The sequence below is a fragment of the Homo sapiens genome, chromosome 2 (genome assembly GCF_000001405.40).
Source record: "Homo sapiens chromosome 2, GRCh38.p14 Primary Assembly".
Lineage (NCBI taxonomy): Eukaryota > Metazoa > Chordata > Mammalia > Primates > Hominidae > Homo > Homo sapiens.
Window position 1 is genome coordinate 214921535 of NC_000002.12, and position 18870 is coordinate 214940404.

General features: G+C 37.5%; 1 protein-coding gene and 1 long non-coding RNA gene across 5 annotated transcripts in view; one reads left to right on the forward strand and one right to left on the reverse strand.

The window, feature by feature from the left end:
- The window catches only part of SNHG31 (small nucleolar RNA host gene 31), a 153377-nt gene that overhangs the window by 111306 nt on the left and 23201 nt on the right, over window positions 1-18870 (forward strand). The gene's annotated exons all lie outside the window — the stretch shown is intronic.
- Window positions 10008-18870, reverse strand: part of ABCA12 (ATP binding cassette subfamily A member 12) — a 207085-nt gene continuing 198222 nt past the window's right edge. For all 4 annotated transcript variants that reach the window (NR_103740.2, NM_173076.3, XM_011510951.3 and 1 more), the window contains 3 exons: window positions 15976-16081; window positions 12544-12681; window positions 10008-11207 (listed from right to left, as the gene is read on the reverse strand). Coding sequence is in view for 3 of the 4 variants with exons in the window: in NM_173076.3 (NP_775099.2) it covers window positions 11100-11207; window positions 12544-12681; window positions 15976-16081 (352 nt within the window). In the remaining variant the exon portion in view is untranslated. The remainder of the gene's footprint in view (window positions 11208-12543; window positions 12682-15975; window positions 16082-18870) is intronic.

Genomic DNA, 18870 nt, shown 5'->3' on the forward strand with positions numbered 1-18870 from the left:
TGTAATTAAGGTATTGTCTAGGGCTGAGTTCTTATCTGCATACCAGACTGGGGAAGAACCTGTTGCTAAGCTCAGATGGTTGTTGGCAGCATTTACTTGCTGGTTGTGAGACTAAGGGTCTCAGTTTCTTGCTGGCTCTCAGCTGGAGGCCATCTTTAGTTTCTTGCCACTTGTTGGCCAGAGGCTGCCTGCCATTCCTTGCCAAGGAGGCCTTTCAACATGGCCTCTTACTTCATTAAAGCCAGGAAGGGAGAGAGGCTATTAGCAAGACAGATGGTACAATCTTTTGTGACATAATCACTTTTGTTATATTCTGTTTGTCTGAAGCAAGTCACAGGTTCTCTCATAGTCAAGGAGAGAGAATTTTTCACTAAAAAACATCTGTACCAGGAGGTAGGAATAATTGGGGGCCATTGTAGAGTGTCCGTTACATTTTAACCACCTATTTCCTCTCCTTAGTACATTCACAAAAGAATAATTGAAAAAAAAAACCCTCAATTTTCTCAAATCTCTGTGCTCAATAAATGATATGCTTTACATATGTAAGTTATGTTAGAGATTCAGTATTCGTGGAGGGATCTCAAAATGCTAGATAGGTTACACTGGTCAAGTAAGGATGTAAGCTGTCTCTTTAATAAAGATAAATTATTTGATAAGATAATTTATAGTTTAATTTCATTATCAAGGAACAGTTTTAGGAAGACCTTTATAACAGAGGAGTACTTTTGAAGCTCTACCTAGGAAGAGATCAGATATGTTCCTTTTTCTTTTTTTTCACATACATACTTTTATAATCTTCATTTAGATTTAGTTCTGCAGACAAATAGATGTTTAATGCTCAAAACTAGTCTTTATGTCAATGTTACTCCCATCATTTTGTTGTCTGAAAATTGTTTTTTGGTAGGTTCCTCAGGAAAGGGTTTTGAATTTTCCCGAATTCTCATATCTTCAAAATAATCTGCTTAAAACCTTTATAATTCAGTTTCATTTTAATTAGATACAAAGTCTTTTGTTTATGTTTTCTCTCCTGATATAAATCATTACTGTCAAATAATATTATGACTACTTAATTTTCTTTCTCTAAAATGGGTCTTGGTTCTTTTTTCTGGCTATCCAAAGGGTTTTTCCTTTACATTTCAATAATTTTACAAGAATATTCATCTCAGTGAAGTCCACCCAGATACACAATGTATCATTTCAATATTTAGCTTTGATGTTTATTTTTTAAGGTAAGTTTTTTTTCAGTCATAGTTTTTAACATGTGCTCTCTTACATTGACTGGTTTTCAAAAACAAAAAGGAACTTCTGTTATATAATGTTTGATTTTCCTGTGTATCTTTTAAATCTATTATTGTCTGTCAAGTCCTATCAGATAAGTTTTTCAATTAATAACTTTATTTTTTATTTTTATGGGTTCATAGATGTACATATTTATGGGTACATGAGATATTTTGATACAGGCATACGATGTGTAGTAATCACATCAGGGTGAATGGGGTATCCATCACCTCAGACATTTATCCTTTCTTTGTGTTACACACAAATTCTGTTATACTCTTTTACTTCTTTTAAAATGTCTGATAAATTATTATTGGTTGTAGTCACCCTGTTTTGCTATCAAATACTAGATCTTACTCATTCTATCTAACTATATTTTTTTACCAATTAACCATCCCCATTTCCCCCCTGCTCCCCCTCCCCCACTATTCCCAGGGGCTGGTAACCATCCTTCTGTTCTCTGTCTTCATGAGTTCAATTATTTTAATTTTTAGCTCCCACAAATAAGAGAAAACATGCAAAATTTATCTTTCTGTGCCTAGTTTATTTTACTTAATGATCTTTAGTTCCATCCTTGCAAGTGACAGGATCTCGTTCTTTTTTTATGGCTGAATATTACTCCACTGTGTATAAGCACAACATTGTCTTGACCCATTCATCTGCTGATTGACACTTAGGTTGCTTCTAAATCTTGGCTATTGTGAAAAGTGCTGCAGTAAACATGAGAGTGTAGATGTTTCTTCAGTAGACTGATCTCCTTTCTTTTGGGTATATACCTAGCAATGAGATTGCTGGATCATATCATACCTCTAGTTTTTGTGTTTTAGAAAGCTCTCCATAGTGGTTGTACTAGTTTACATTTCCACCAACATTGTATGAGTGTTCTCTTTTCTCCACATCCTTGCCAGCATTTGTTATTATCTATCTTTTGAATAAAAGCCATTTTAAGTGGGGTGATATGGTGTCTCATTGTAGTTTTGATGCACATTTCTCTGATGATCAATGATGTTGAGCACTTTTTCATATACCTGTTTACCATTTGTATGTCTTCTTTTAAGAATTCTGTATTCAGACATTTAGTTGTTCAAATAGACATTTTTTTAATCGGATGAGTAGATTTTTTCTTATTGAGTTGTTTGAGTCCCTTATATATTCTGGCTATTAATCCCTTGTCAGATGTATAGTTTGCACATATTTTCTCCTATCCTGTGGGTTGTCTCTTCATTTTTGTTAATTGTTTCCTTTACTGTGCAGAAGCTTTTTAACTTGATGAGATTCCATTTGTCCATTTTTGCTTTGGTTGCCTGTGCTTGTGGGATATTACACAAGAAATCTTGGCCCTGTACAATGTCCTAGAGAGTTTTCCAATGTGTTATTTTAATAGTTTCATAATTTGAGGACTTAGATTTAAGTCTTTAATCCATTTGATTTGATTTTTATCTGTGTTAGGAGATAGGGGTCTAGTTTCATTTTCTGCATGTGGATATCCAGTTTTCCTAGCACCATTTATCAAAGAGATAGTCCTTTCTTCAATGTATGTTCTTTGTACCTTTGTTGAAAGTGAGTTCACTGTAGATGTATGAATTTATTTCTGAGTCCTTTTTTATTGTGTTCCATTGATCTGTGTCTGTTTTTATGCCAATACCATGCTCTTTTGGTTACTATAGCTCTGTAGTATAATTTGAAGTCAGGTAATGTGATTCCTTCTGTTTTGTTCTTTTTGTTCAGAATAGCTTTGGCTCTTCTGGGTCTTTTGTGGGTCCACAGAAATTTAAGGATTGCTTTTTCTATTTCTGTGAAGGATGTCATTGGTATTTTGATAGGGATTGCATTGAATATGTAGATTGCTTTGGATAGTATGAACATTTTAACCATATTGATTCTTCCAATCCACAAATATGGAATATCTTTCCAATTTTTTGTGCCCTCTTCAATTTCCTTCATCAGTGTTTTATAGTTTTCAGTGTAGAGATATTTCACTTCTTTGGTTAAAGTTAATTCCTAGGTATTCTATTTTATTTGTAGCTATTGTAAGTAGAATTATTTTCTTGATTTCCTTTTCATATTGTTTGCCATTGGCATATGGAAATGCTACTGATTTTTGTACATTGATTGTGTACCCTGCTACTTTACTGAATTGTTTATCAGCTCTAACAGTTTTTTTTTTATGGCGTCTTTAGTTTTTTCCAAATACAAGATAAATCATCTGCAAACAAGAATAATTTGACTTCTTTCTGACTTGGATGACTTTTATTTCTTTCTCTTGTCTGATTGCTCTAGCTAGGACTTCCAGTACTATGTTGAATAACAATGGTGACAGTGGGAATCCTTGTTTGTTCCAGAGCTTAGAGAAAAGGTTTTCAGTTTTTCTCTGTTCAGTATGATACTAGCTGTGGTCTGTCCTATATGGCTTTTATTGTGTTGCAGTGTATTCCTTCTATACCCGGTTTTTGAGGGTTTTTTTTTTGTTGTTGTTATCATGAAGGGATGCTGAAGTTTACCAGATGCTTTTCAGCATCAGTAGAAATAATCATATGGTTTTTGTCCTTCATTCTGTTGATATGATGCATCATATTGATTGATTTGCATATGTTAAACCATCCTTGCATCCCCGAGATAAATCCCATTTGGTTATGATGAATGATCTTTTTAATGTGTTGTTGAATTTGGTTTTGTTAAAGCAAACTAAATATGTCCTGAGAAGGACTCCATACTTCTATATTTGAGTCCTTGTGGATAAACTGCAACCTAACTTAATAGGTAGACAAGATTGAAAACCTAACTTAGGAGTATGCTCCTGTAACAATCACTGAGTCTTGGCCAGTCCTAGCAGCCATACTTCAACCACTCATACACTGCTGAGTGTTCAAACTGTGTTCAAATAAGGCAAACATGGAGCTGTAACCAATCCAGCTGTTTCTGTACCTCACTACCAGTTTCTGTGCATCACTACTTTTTTTGCCTATACATTTTTTCTGACCATGAGGCATCCCTGGAGTCTCTCTAAATCTGCTGTGATCCTGGGGGCTGCCCAATTCGCGAATCGTTCATTGCTTAATTAAACTCCTTTATATTTAATTTGGCTGAAGTTTTTCTTTTAGCAGTTTGCCAGTATTTTGTTGAGGATTTTTGCATCATTTTTAATTAAGGATATTGGCCTGTAGTTTTCTTTTTTTTAAATGTATCTTAGATAAATTTTTAAAACAGATTAGTGTGAAAAGAAAATCTTCTAGCTTAGTTAGTGTGTGCTTATGCATTTTACCAAAGAATATGACGGAAAGTTTCAGGATTTTTCTGGAGTTATATCTGGTTTGCCTTTAGTAGAACTTTCCATTTATTTCATTCTTAAATGATATATGCATTGGTTGGAGCATCTTGCCTACAATTTTTTAGCTCAAAATATTTCATGAATATCTTCTTTAATGACTGGACTGCTTTAAATAAAAGAAAGTTAAACTTCTCTGGTAATACTAAATATTTCTTTTGGGCTGATTAGTGAAGCTTTTGTCTTTGAGAAGAATTCAGTTTGCAATTCTGTTGAGTTGCTAAGAGCATTAACTTAAGTGAAGGGTTTTCCTCTTCCACTAGAAACTTTCAGTGGGTCCCATGAAATAAGAACTAAAAATCTGTTTTGAGGTGTTGAAAGAGCCATCTTGGCCATAACCTGTTTAGGGCATAGACCATTTCACATTGTGGGCTTCCTTACACTGGAAATTATAGCTCCCATTTGAATGCAATAATAAAGCATAAAAATGAAAATAAACTGAGGAAAGAAATCAAATAAACAGAATAGCAAAATTATCTGCTATATTGAAAACAACAACAAAATCTCAGTAAGTACAAACCACAACTCTTTTGAGTTAAAATAAATGGAAATTATTAGTAAATCTTTGTATATCTAATGACATTGTTGGTTTTCTCTGCGAGATAGTTCAGTGGAGGGGGGCGGGGGCAGGAGGTAGGAAGGTGAAAGAAGAGGATCCTTCCTAAGGATTTCTAAGGAAAGAGGATAGTCAGGGACAGAGTCTTCTTGTTTGTGCTAGAAACAGTACTGGAGATAGCTACAGTAGACAAGGGAGCAGTTTTCAGGGCCCACAGGACCAGTGATTCTCTTGCCAAGTCAGCACAGACATAAATACAGCTCATCACTAAATTATGAATGGATTTTAAATATGTAAGTTGACATAGTCAAGTCTTTTTGTGAGGGAGGGGTCTATGTCAGAATACAGTCTGTGGCATCAAATTCATTCTTTGGCTGTAGGATTCTGGGCCAGATAGTTGCCTTTTTCCAACCTTCAGTAACCAATTGAAAGTTTGTTGTGAGAATAAGAAATGTGGCAAACTTGACCTGTATCTCACAGATAAAAAATTATGAATAAGTGGTAGATCCTGCTATTTTAATCATAACTTTTTCTTTTTTTTTTTTTTTTTTTTTTTTTGGAAGAGACAGGACTCACTCTGTTGTGCAGGCTGGAGTGCACTAGTGCAATCATGGCATACTGCAGCCTCAACCTTATGGGCTCAACCAATCCTCCCACCTCAGTCTCCCAAGAAGCTAGGACTACAGATGCACACCACTGTACCCAGCTAATTTTAAAATTTTATGTAGTGTCAGGGTCTTGCTAGGTACTCAGGCTGGTCTTGAACACCTGGCCTCAAGGGATTCTCCTGCCTCGGCCTTCCAAAGTGCTGGGATTACAGGTGTGAGACACCACATGCAGCCAACCTAACTACAACTGCTTTCTTATCTAGCTTTTCCACTTGTGCGATGAGAGTGATTAAGTATAACTCTGTCTTAGTGAAAGTATTTGATTTAAATAGCATTTTTATTTTCAATACCCTTGGGCAAGCCGGGCGTGGTGGCTCATGCCTGTAATCCCAGCACTTTGGGAGGCTGAGGTGGGCAGATCATGAGGTCAGGAGTTCAAGACCAGCCTGGCCAATATGGTGAAACCATGTCTCTACTAAAAATACAAAAATTAGCCGGGCGTGGTGGCTCATGCCTGTAGTTCCAGCTACTCAGGAGGCTGAGACAGGAGAATCACTTGAACCCAGGAGGCAGAGGTTGCAGTGAGCCGAGGTCATGCTATTGCACTCCAGCCTAGGTGTCATAGCGAGACTCTGTCTCAAAAAATACAAAATAAAAGAAAATCCTTAGGCAAATGCCATAATAGGCAGTAGTGTTACTAAAATAATTGTATGTCCAATGCTTGGCATTTTAATGAAATGCACTTTATGCAGAATCAACATTTTAACTTAAAATGTTGGTCATCTGCACATTTTCCCCCAGCAATTAACTTTAAACTTTAAAACTAAAACAAACATGATTACAAAAAAGTTAAAGCAAAAATCCTACAAGCATTTCTAAGTTGAAATAGACCTCTTTGGTTCTTCAAAAATTTATTGAGCAGCAACAATATGTTGATATTTTGCTGGATATGGGAGGTACAATGATGAAGAAAAATAGGTCACTGCGCTTAAGGAACTTAGGGAAGAAAGAGATATGTACAGAGATGTTTATAATGTGATATGAAAATACTTCTGCAGAGGCATGCACAAAAATGCTTTTGTAACAAAGGATAGAACAATTAACTCTGCCTGAGGCTCTCTCGGAAGTCTTCCTTAAAGATAAGGCCTAAGAGAAGTGTAATGAAGATGAAAAGGAGATTCTGGATAAAAGCTGAGTAGGGAGGGAGAAAAGGTCTTCCAAGAGAAAAGAGCAGTGTGAGCAAAGTTGCACAGAATTGAGAGAGGCTCTGACATAAATAGGAAATAGCGAGAAATTTATTACAGTAAGAGCATCAACTGCGTAGGGAAGAGAGATTGAAGTGTTGGAACCAGATTATTAAATACTTTGAAGATCAGTTAAGGGGTTTGTATTTTATCCTGCAGATTATGGAAAACCAATCTGGATTTACAAGCAAAGGAGTGATAAGATTAACCTTGAAACAAATGATGCCAGAGGAAATAGTATTCATTTCTTTGTAGCTTGTTGTCTTCTTACATTGAAAAGCTTAGGTTAATGAAACAAGCAGACTTCTGGTGTCAGGTGAAGGTAAGAGGATGGAAGCCTAGTTGGTCATTCCCATCTTTACCTAGGTCAGCATTTGCTGTTTGTCTAGAAGTCGATCAATAAGGAAGACAGCATACTGTGCAGAAGGCTGTCTGGATCATTTTTCTATTTTTTGAGACAGGGTCTCACTCTGTTATCCAGGCTGGAGTGCAATGGCACGATCAAGCCTCACTGCAGTCTCAGCATCCTGGGCTTAGGTGATCTTCCCATTGCAACCTCTTGAGAAGCTAGGACTACAGATGTGCACCACAATTCCCAGCTAATGTTATTATTATTATTTTTTTTTTAAGAGTCAGGGTTTTGCCATGTTGCCCAGGCTGGTGTGAAACTCGTGGACTAAAGTGATCCACCCACCTCAGCCTTTCAAAGTGTTGGCATTACAGGTATGAGTCACTCTACCTGGCTTATCATTTTTCCATTCTTGTGATTTTTGTACCCACTGTATAAATATTATGAAAATTAGGTTTTATGCATGAAGTAAAAATTGCCACTATCCTCAGAGGTAATTCAGGTAACTCACATTAAAAAAGTAGATTCTGGGCCAGGCGTGGTGGCTCCTACCTGTAACCCTAGCACTTTGGGAGACCATGGATGGAGGATTGCTTGAACTCAGGAGTTCAAGACCAGCCTGGGCAACATAGCGAGACCTCATCTCTACTAAAAATAAAAAATAATTAGCCAGCCTTGGAGGTGCACACCTGTAGTCCCAGCTACTCAGGGGGATGAGGTGGGAGGATCACTCGAGCCTGGGAGATCGAGGCTGCAGTGAGCTGTGATCTCTCCACTGCACTCCAGCCTGGGTAACAGAGCAAGACCTTGTCTAAAAAAAAAAAAAAAGAACAACAACAACAAGAACAACAAAACAAAAACAAAAAAGCAAGCACATTCTGTAGGTATTATCCAGAGTGGAAGTTCTGGGAACTGGGAATTCTCTAAACATTTCCTCTACTGCAGAGAAACCCAAAGGGATATGGGTTCAAATATTTGTTCATAGATGTTCCTTAATTACATATAAAAATGTGCCATGATACTCTTAAATAGTACATACTAACAGAAAAAAAGAGGAAGAAAAATAAATGTCCAAAAATGTGCAAAAACAAAACATAGCATTCTCATTCTAAAGAAGATACCCAAATCCTTCCATCGCAGTAGATTCATTGTAATATCTGTAATATGGGACTATGTATCATCTTTCTCTTTTCTTCCCTCAGAATAAACTACCTCATGGGAAACCTCACTGTATTTCAGAAATTTAAACAAAATCAGGTTGCTTGGTTTTCATATCAACCATGCCAGCCTCTCTTGTTTCTCCTTCATTTATTTACTCATTTAACCAACAAATACTTACTTATTGAGTGCCACGAATATTTATTGTGTATATAGGTACCAGTTGGAGAGCCAGGAAGATCAAAATAGATCTCTGTCCTCATGGAGTTTCAAGCCTAGTGAGACAGAGAAATACTAATCACTCAAATAATGGTGCTACTATCACGGTCCAGAGCCCAGCTGGGGCTTCCCTGCCCATTGAGAGGTAGATGAGATTGGCTGGAGTCCCTGATCCATGTCCTATGGTCAGAAGCTCTGCTCCACACATGTCCTGGCATCTCCCTGTCTCATGGTCTGACAGCTTCTGGGATGAAGCTGTCACTGTACTGCACCTCTTTCAAAAAAGGAATTAACATATCTTCATTCCAGTCTCCACAAGACACTCAGTCACACAGAGCATTTGTAAGCGTGTCTGACTTCAACGAAGATTCAGTGGTAACAGGGACCATCCACAGCATGGCTGCACAGTGAGTGAATATGCAAAAAGTATTTGAATACTCATAGTTTTAAACGTCCATTCAACCACTTCTCTTTCTCACTGGGCTTCCGTCTGTTTCAGTACTTAGCCTTCTGCCATCTCACTGGTTCCACCTTTCTCCATGTCCCTTGTGTCCTTTTCTTTTGCTTCCTTTCCTACCATTGCTCAGAAACAAGCAGACAACCAGCCAACCACAACAAAGACAATGAACAGCAAACAAATTCCTTTTATTCTTTCATGGAGCTCGGCTATCTATTTTGTCACTTGGGACCCTAGAGACACCCACGCTCTCAGAGTTATACCTTCTATCTACTCCAAAAGGCGTGTCTACATATTATATTCAGCAAAGACATTTTCCATCCTGAAAGAAATTGTGTTACCATCTGTTAAGGTACATATATATATATATATTTGTAGTTAAGTCAGTCAGTCTGGATATATTACAAATGATGATGCATGCTCTGACAGAAAAGTAGGAGGTTGGGAGGAACAACAAAGCATATAGTATTAGAACAGCAGACCAGATTTAAAATGAGAAAGCCGGGCAGTCTGGGTTCTCTAAGAAAGTATGACATTTCTGGAGCCTGTTAGCCAGGTAAAAAGTGTGGGGTGAAGAGCATTCCCAGCAGGAGAACAGCATGTGCAAAGGTTTGGAGATGGGGAAGACTGTGGAGCACTGGAAAAAGTGGGAAGGGGCCAGCATGGCTAGATCCCAAAGGGCCAAAGAGAGAGAAAGATGGGGATGAGGGTGGAGAGGCCAACAGGGGCCAGATCAAGTGAAACTTTGCAGGCCACATGACTCCCATTTTTAGGTTCCTGTCTCTTCCCTAACAAATGAAATGACAGCATGAATGAGTTTTTCTAAACTTTGAGTTTATTGGTTTTCGAGACAAACAGTCATGCCAAAGCTGACAAACTTGTATAGATACACACACATACACGCACACACGGTACATAAAGCACCTTTCCCCAGGGCCACGTCACTTGCCATTATTAAGAAGTCTATCCTATAGCCATATACACGATTCTGGGTCACCCAGATAATTAGCTGAAAATTATCTTCATATTCGTTTTCCCTCCACAGGAATGTTTCCTGAAAAGAAACCCCAAATATGAGGGTTTCTGAAAGAGCTTTAAAAAATGTTGCCTGCCAGTAGCACATGGATTCTCTTTTCAGGGTTTGTATCTACCCAGCTGACACACCCATTCCCCCCTCCCTTCCCCCCAGAGCAAGTGATTTCTTGTTCCACCCTGCAGCTTACTATTGGCAAGGCATGGCAGGAGTGAATCTAGGTTCCGTGTACCACCAGGGTAAATTGCCCTCTCTATTGCAGTCCTTATGGAAAGGCACTTTTTTTCGGGTTCAGCACGTCCCCATGCATTCACAGGTACCGAAAGTGACATACACATACATTGTAAACATTGTGCCCACTGCTCTGCAAACGTTCATTTGGCCCTTAGCAGTTCACACATCACAGCCGATTCATGTATTCATGATGATGTTCATTCTGTTGTTTTCTGGAAATAAATTATGTTGTCTGCTTGCCCGGTGGCACCTGCCACAAACCATCTGACTTTTCTTCTCCACTCTTATATTTCAACTACCAAAATCCATGCCTTTTAAACTGTCTTTTTATTGAAAGTAATAAATTAAGATATTCATCTTGAGGTGGCTTCACCTTTGCATAAGAATCACCAGCATATACATTAGCATGCTCACAGTGTTGAGTATACAGGAATTCATTTCAGTAGCAACAACACTCACTGACCTTAGAAGGAAAAATTTCCTTTTATAATTACTTGTTAGTCTAACACAGTTGTAACTTTCCATACAGTATATTACTTTACTTTAAAATGAAGATATCTTGCGGAAGTGTATCTTCTGTGGCTTTTCTTCAAAATGAAGCCATTGGTCACACGCTGAGATTGAGTTTGCTGGAAGTGTTAAGACTCCATCTGGTCATCTTGTGAGTCAACACTTATAGTGGAACCTTGGCTGCTGGTATCAGCAGTTTCATAGGACTTCTGGTCTTTGGCAAAGTTGATGAAAACCTGATTTTTCAGGGAAAATAAAGCCATTAATGCCTGGTAAGCCAAAGGAAAAAATAAAGTTAATTCATTCTCTCTCTCTCCCCTTCCTCTCTCCTAGTGCAAGCGTGTATATATGTGTATGCAGGCCCCTATAAAATCCAAATCCTAGTTTTATACATGCTTGCACTAGGAGTCCTTTCAGAAAATCAAATTTAACTGGGGCTTGAAAACAGCACCTATATCTATGACCATATTTATGACTATGATTTTATTTATAATCATGTCAATCTTAAGCCATAGTTGACTATCTGTAGCCACATTTCTGCATTCATATGACCTACATCAATATCTCTATCAGGTATAAACAAGGAGCCCAGCCCTGTGCCCTTATTGAATGGTTGTGTAGAAATGTTGAGAGAAATTTCACTAGTTTCAAGAGTTAATGCATTAAGATAAAATTTGTATAGAAAGCCCATGTTAACACTGTGTTCAGTAAGCCAATTACTTAACAGGCAGATCTTTTCACTTTGTTTAAAGTCATTAAATCTATTAGTCATAGTTTCATCCAAAAACTATCGAGAGTCTGTATTTTGCCATGGTGCTGGTAGTTGGTCATAAGTCGAAGACTAAGTCTTCATTTTCAGGAAAGTCATGATTGTCTAAAGCCCCCATTAAAATGCCTAAAGCCCCACAAGAAGAGTTGTACATCAAATGCAGCACCATATACTGACCCCTAAAGGCCTTACTTTCAGACCTAGTCCAATGACAGATATAATCAAACTTTCTATATGTCATGTTGGTTGAGCTGTGCAAAATTAAGACAGTACAGAAGTGATAAAGGATGACCTAATAAGTCTGTAGTTATTAAATGCAAATGTAATTAAGACAGATGATGTACGTTGAACGGAAAGGATTCTGCATTTACCACTTTAATTGCCTGAATTTAACAGATCTAAAGGTCTGACACCAAATTCTAATTACCCTGTCCAACCCTAATCCAGGAAGCCAATCAATAGAAATGTTCTTTAAGAAACCTACCATGGAAGAAGGAAGGAAAGTGTTAACAGCTGTTTGTTATGTATGTGAAAATAGTGGGGTTTTTTTCTTTATGTATACATATAACTTTATGGGTACAGATGTCTTATCAAATGGAAAAGTTAATGTCTTTCACATCTATTTTTTTAATATCCCCAAATTAAGTGAGAAATTGATTAGGCTCTTTGCTAAGTTTTTCAGGTGCAAGACTAGATATTAATTCAATTAAAAACAAATTGAATGTAATTAAAAAGAAATAACCAGAATGAATAATAATATTAATATGTGACGTTGTGCACATGGATCGTGGTATATATCTTACCTCTTCCAGAGTGGTCTGACTCACTAAGAAATTTGTAATATTTAAAGCAGTCTTGTTGGTTTCCAGCAGATCAAAAATGTTTGCGACTCCTCCTGCTGTGACTGGTACATGATACTCTAGCATGCTGAGGTGCTGATCCTGTGGGAACCAAAGGAAAAAAGTTTATTTTGCAATGTCTGGTAATGTTGACATGACTAGACATAACTTTACCAAGAGTTCAGGAAAATAACTGAAGTTCATTCCACTGAAAATGATGCTACAGTATAAATAACGAGTATATTTTGAAACTAACAGCTTGCAAAGATGAGATGAAAGTTTTGTGAATGTCAAAGAGAAAACAAATTTAAAAGTTCATGAAAACTCCAAAGCATTCTATATTCATGTGAAGTTATACAGTCATTATAATCTTGCCTGGAAAAGAATTTGTGGAATGGTATTTCACATGTGACATTATGCTCAGCTCACATAAGCTTTCTCAGTGCTCAATCTTAAGAAATTTCATTTTTGTGTTAGAAGTGTTCTAAAACGCTAAAAATTAGCAGTTCCATTTATATTGGCTAAAGACAGTAGACTTCAAAAGCATTGAAGCTCCTTCAAATGACAGCTCATCCTTTTCCCAACTCACCCTAAAATTCTTTCCAATTTCTTTATTTCGGTCACCAGTATCACCATCTACTTAGTTTAATCCATTCTAGTTGCCTTGGAGTATCTTTAACAATTTGCTTTCCTGGATATTTAATCAGTTACCAGATCTTATTTATTTTTCCTCTAAAATACCTCTCAAACTTAACCTTTTCTCTCTATTTGCACCACCAATATGATTAACTTGATGCTTATTAGTCCACATCTTAGTTACTGCAACAGCCTCTTCAGAACCCCAGAAACTCTGTACACTTAACTTTCTTGCAGAAAGCAGCTGGGATAATCTTTGCTGATACTAGTTTGATTAGGATATTTTCTTATTCCAGAATCTACCCCTGTGACGCCAGTGCATCAGATCATGACCATGTATTTCAGACCCTTCTCCTCCCGCTTTGTGCATTGCTTAGCGTCTCCCATTGACATGCAGTTGCATTATATCTGTTACTGCAATTGGGCCATCTTGCCTACTTTTGCTCTCAGATTGTTGTTTTGGCTATTTTCCTTCTAGACATCTAGAAACCACCACAAATTTGTAAAGAATGGTCTGCTAGGGAGAAATCAGACTTTTTATTATCACTGCATTTGCCTTGTATAGCCCTGGTCCCATGAGGAACAGACCAGGGAGAATGTAATTTCATCACTCAGTGAAACAACACAGATTTCAACCCAGAAATCCACTAAAAGAGAAAGCATTACTACCAACACAATTTGTGCAAGAAAGATGTCCTTTTACTTTTAAATTTGATTTAAATTTAGATGATAGAAAATGAGCTTTGATAAGAATCCTGAAAGCTAGGCCGAGTGTGGTGGCTCACAGCTGTAATCCCAGTGCTTTGGGAGACCAAGGCAGAAAGATTGCTTCGGGCCAGGAGTTCAAGACCAGCTTGGGCAACATAGTGAGATTCTGTCTCTACAAAAAATCCAAAACTTAGCAGGGCATGGTGGCACATGCCTATATGCTTGGCTACTTGTGAGGCAGAGGTGGAAGGATTCCTGGAACCCAGGAGTTCAAGGCTGCACTGAGCTATGATTATGCCACTGCACTCCAGCCTGGGCAACATAGCGAGACTCTGTGTCTTAAAAAAAATTTTTTTTAAGAATTAAGAAAGCTATTCTTTCCTAGAGAAATAGAGAAGTTAGCCAAACTTGGAGAGGCTGAGGCAAAGGTATTTTATGAAGATAAAATAATTATTTTTAAAATGCAGTTTATTTTCTCTAAAATCACTTCAAATTAACATTGTGCCTTATAATTTATGGAGTATCTTTGTGGACACCTTATCATTTAATTCTCACATCAGTTTTGTGAAGTAGATGTTACTGTAGTAGTACTCCCTTATTTGTGGTTTTGCATTCTATGGTTTGTTACCTGTGATCAACCAAGTTCTAAAACTATTAAATGGAAAAATACAAAAATAAACAATTTATAAGCTTTAAATTGCATGCCTTTCTGAGTAGTGTGATCTAATTTTGTACCACCCGATCTGGCATGTGAATCATTCCTTTGTCCAGTATATTTATGTTGTGTAAGCTACCTGCCTGTTTCTGTATAAGAAAAAGCATAGTGTATACCAGATTTGGTACTATCTATAGTTTCAGGCATCCACTGGAGGTCTTGGAATGTATCACCCATGAATAGTGGGACACTCCTGTATTCCTATTTACAAATGAGAAAAATGAGGCTCAGAGATTAATGGCTTGCTGGGAATCACATGGGCACAATTGGACCTCAGCCCTAGTCTTTCCAATTTCTTTTTATCATTCCACGTCTGATTTCCTTTCAAAAACAATCATTTGAAATCATCTTCTACAAATTGCCTGTATATCAAAGATGTAATAATGACAAATTTTCCTGTCAAGTACATTTATTTTAATTAAGTATGGGCTATGTTAGGTATATATGCATATATCTGTGTGTGTCCATCCCATGCCTATGCATATGTGAGATGAGATCAACTGTACAATATTTCATCTAGTCTAGAACTTGAGGACTTGATTTCTACTCAGTCCTGCTCCAACTTTTGTGGGCTTCTCTTTCAAATGAGGGGGACAAACCAGATAATCATTCTGGAGCTCTGTAGTTTTTTGGGTTTTTTTAAGAAGAAATGACCTTGGTCATATAATACCTGTCATCCCTCAGTTCCCTAATATATATAATGAGTAGATCAGCAAGGTATACAACTTGGAAACTAATACAATATGATCATAAATCCTTTGTGAGGAAAAAAAAAAATACATGTATGTGAAAGGACTGTGTTAACTTTAAGTAAGTACAAAAATATATAATTAATTGATGCTATTTGTTCATACTAAGTATGCTTTGGCATATCTTACGCATCTTGAACTAATCAATAAATTAAGATTAATAATAAAGCTGTAGTCAACTTGGAAATCACAAATGTCGCTATGACATTACCATCAAAACTAGTGAAGATCAAAAGGCAAGATAATCACTTACATTGTTGGTTTTTTGTTTGTTTTTGTTTTTGTTTTTGTTTTTTAGACAGAGTCTCGCTTTGTCACCCAGGCTGGAGTGCAGTGGCATGATCTTGACTCACTGCAACCTCTGCCTCCCAGGTTCAAGCAAGTCTCCTGCCTCAGCCTCCCGAGTAGCTGGGATTACAGGCATGTGCCACCATGCCCAGCTAATTTTTGTATTTTTTGTAGAGACGGGGTTTCACCATGTTGGCCAGGCTGGTCTTAACCTCCTGACCTCAAGTGATTGCCCGCCTCGGACTCCCAAAGTGCTGGGATTACAGGCGTGAGCCACTGCACCCAGCCATCATCACTTACTTTTAAGTATGTTTTTGGAAAGTGCAGCTGCATGAACTTTGTGAGGGTCTCCATGGTCACTTTGTTATTCTTCAAGTGAACTTTGACAGTAAATCCTCGTCCAAACCTAGAAAGAAAAAGTGCAAAATATGATATGAATTACATTTTGCTGAAATAGCTCCTCTGGAATTCTAGATAATGAAACAGGACCCAAGCCAACCATTATATCACCTTTTCTTTATATGAAGACTATCATTTTGCCATAAAAGTTCAGGACATGTTGCAAACTGGAAATAGTGCACTGCTATGATTTTTTATTTATTTCTACCTCTATATAAAATCAGAGTCTTTGGGCAAAAATTGAGTTGAAAAGAAAACATAACATAAAATCTTGGCTTTCTATGACATTCATAAATCGGCAATGGATGTTAATTTCTGCAGTTAAATACTTCCCTTTTTTTCTTATTTTTTGTGTTTATTATTATACTTTAAGTTCTGGGATACATGTGCAGAATGTGCAGGTTTGTTTCATAGGTATACATGTGCCGTGGTGGTTTGCTGCACCCACCAACCCATCATCTACATTAGGTATTTCTCCTAATGCTATCCCTCCCCTAGCCCCCCACCCCCCAACAGACCCTGGTGTGTGATGTTTCCCTCCCTGTGTCCATGTATTCTCATTGTTCAACTCCCACTTATGAGTGAGAACATGCAGTGTTTGGTTTTCTGTTCCTGTGTTAGTTTGCTGAGAATGATGGTTTCCAGCTTTATCCATGTCCCTGCAAAGGACGTGAACTCATCCTTTTTATGTGGCACATATACACCATAGTATTCCATGGGGTATATGTGCCACATTTTCTTTATCTAGTCTGTCATTGATGGGCATTTGGGTTGGTTCCAAGTCTTTGCTATTGTGAACAGTGCTGCAGTAAACATACATGTGCATGTGTCTTTATAATAGAATGATTTATAATCCTTTGGGGACATACCCAGTAATGGGATTGCTGGGTCAAATGGTATTTCTGGTTCTATATCCTTGAGGAATCGCCACACTGTCTTCCACGATGGTTGAACTAATTTACACTTCCGCCAACAGTGTAAAAGTGTTCCTATTTCTCCACATCCTCTCCAGCATCTGTTGTTTCCTAACTTTTTAACGATCACCATTCTAACTGGCGTGAGATGGTATGTCATGGTGGCTTTGGTTTGCATTTCTCTAATGACCAGTAATGAGATTTTCTTCATGTTTGTTGGCAGCATAAATGTCTTCTTTTGAGAAGTGTCTGTTCATATCCTTTGACCACTTTTTGATGGGTTTTTTTTGTTTCTTGTAAATTTGTTTAAGTTCTTTGTAGATTCTGGATGTTGGCCCTTTGTCAGATGGATAGATTGCAAAAATTTTCTCCCGTTCTGTAGGTTGCCTGTTCACTCTGATGATAGTTTCTTTTGCTGTGCAGAAGTTCTTTAGTTTAATTAGATCCCATTTGTCTATTTTGGCTTTTGTTGCCATTGCTTTTGGTGTTTTAGTCATGAAGTCTTTGCCCACGCCTGTGTCTTGAATGGTATTGCCTAGATTTTCTTCTAGGGTTTTTATGTTTAAGTGTTTATGTTTATGTTTAAGTCTTTAATCCATGTCGAATTAATTTTTGTATAAGGTGTAAGGAAGGGGTCCAGTTTCGGTTTTCTGCATATAGCTAGCCAGTTTTCCCAACACCATTTATTAAATAGGGAATCTTTTCCCCATGGCTTGTTTTTGTCAGCTTTGTCAAAGATCAGATGGTTGTAGATGTGTGGCATTATTTCTGAGGCCTCTGTTCTGTTCCATTGGTCTATATATGTGTTTTGGTACCAGTATCATGCTGTTTTGGTTACTGTAGCCTTGTGGTATAGTTTGAAGTCAGGTAGCATGATGCCTCCAGCTTTGTTCTTTTTGCTCAGAATTGTCTTGGCTATAGGGGCTCTTTTTTTGGTTCCAGATGAAATTTAAAGTAGTTTTTTCTAATTCTGTGAAGAAAGACAATGGTAGCTTGATGGGGACAGCACTGAATCTATAAATTACTTTGGACAGTATGGCCATTTTCATGATATTGATTCTTCCTATCCATGAGCATGGAATGTTTTTCCATTTGTTTGTGTCCTCTCTTATTTCCTTGAGCAGTGGTTTGTAGTTCTCCTTGAAGAGGTCCTTCATATCCCTTGTAAGTTGGATTCCTAGGTATTTTATTCTCTTTGTAGCAATTGTGAATGGGAGTTTACTCATGATTTGGTTCTGTTTGTCTATTATTGGTGTATAGGAATGCTTGTGATTCTTGCACATTGATTTTGTATCTTGAGACTTTGCTGAAGTTGCTTATCAGCTTAAGGGGATTTGGGGCTGAGAAGATGGGGTTTTCTAAAAATACAGTCACGTCACCTACAAACAGAGACAATTTTGACTTCCTCTCTTCCTATTTGAATACCTTTTATTTCTTTCTCTTGCCTGATGGCTCTGGCCAGAACTTCCAATACTATGTTGAATAGGATTGGTGAGAGAGGGCATCCTTGTCTTGTGCTGGTTTTCAAAGGGAATACTTCCAGATTTTGTCCATTTGGTATGATATTGGCTGTGGGTTTGTCATAAATAGCTCTCATTATTTTGAGATACAGTCCATCAATACCTGGTTTATTGAGAGTTTTTAGCATGAAGGGGTGTTGAATTTTATTGAAGGTCTATTCTGCATCTATTGAGATAATCATGTGGTTTTTGTCATTGGTTCTGTTTATGTGATGGATTGCATTTATTGATTTGCATATGTTGAACAAGCCTTGCATCCCAGAGATGAAGCCGACTTGATCATGGTGTATAAGCTTTTTGATATGCAGCTGGATTCGGTTTGCCAGTATTTTACTGAGGATTTTCACATTGATGTTAATCAG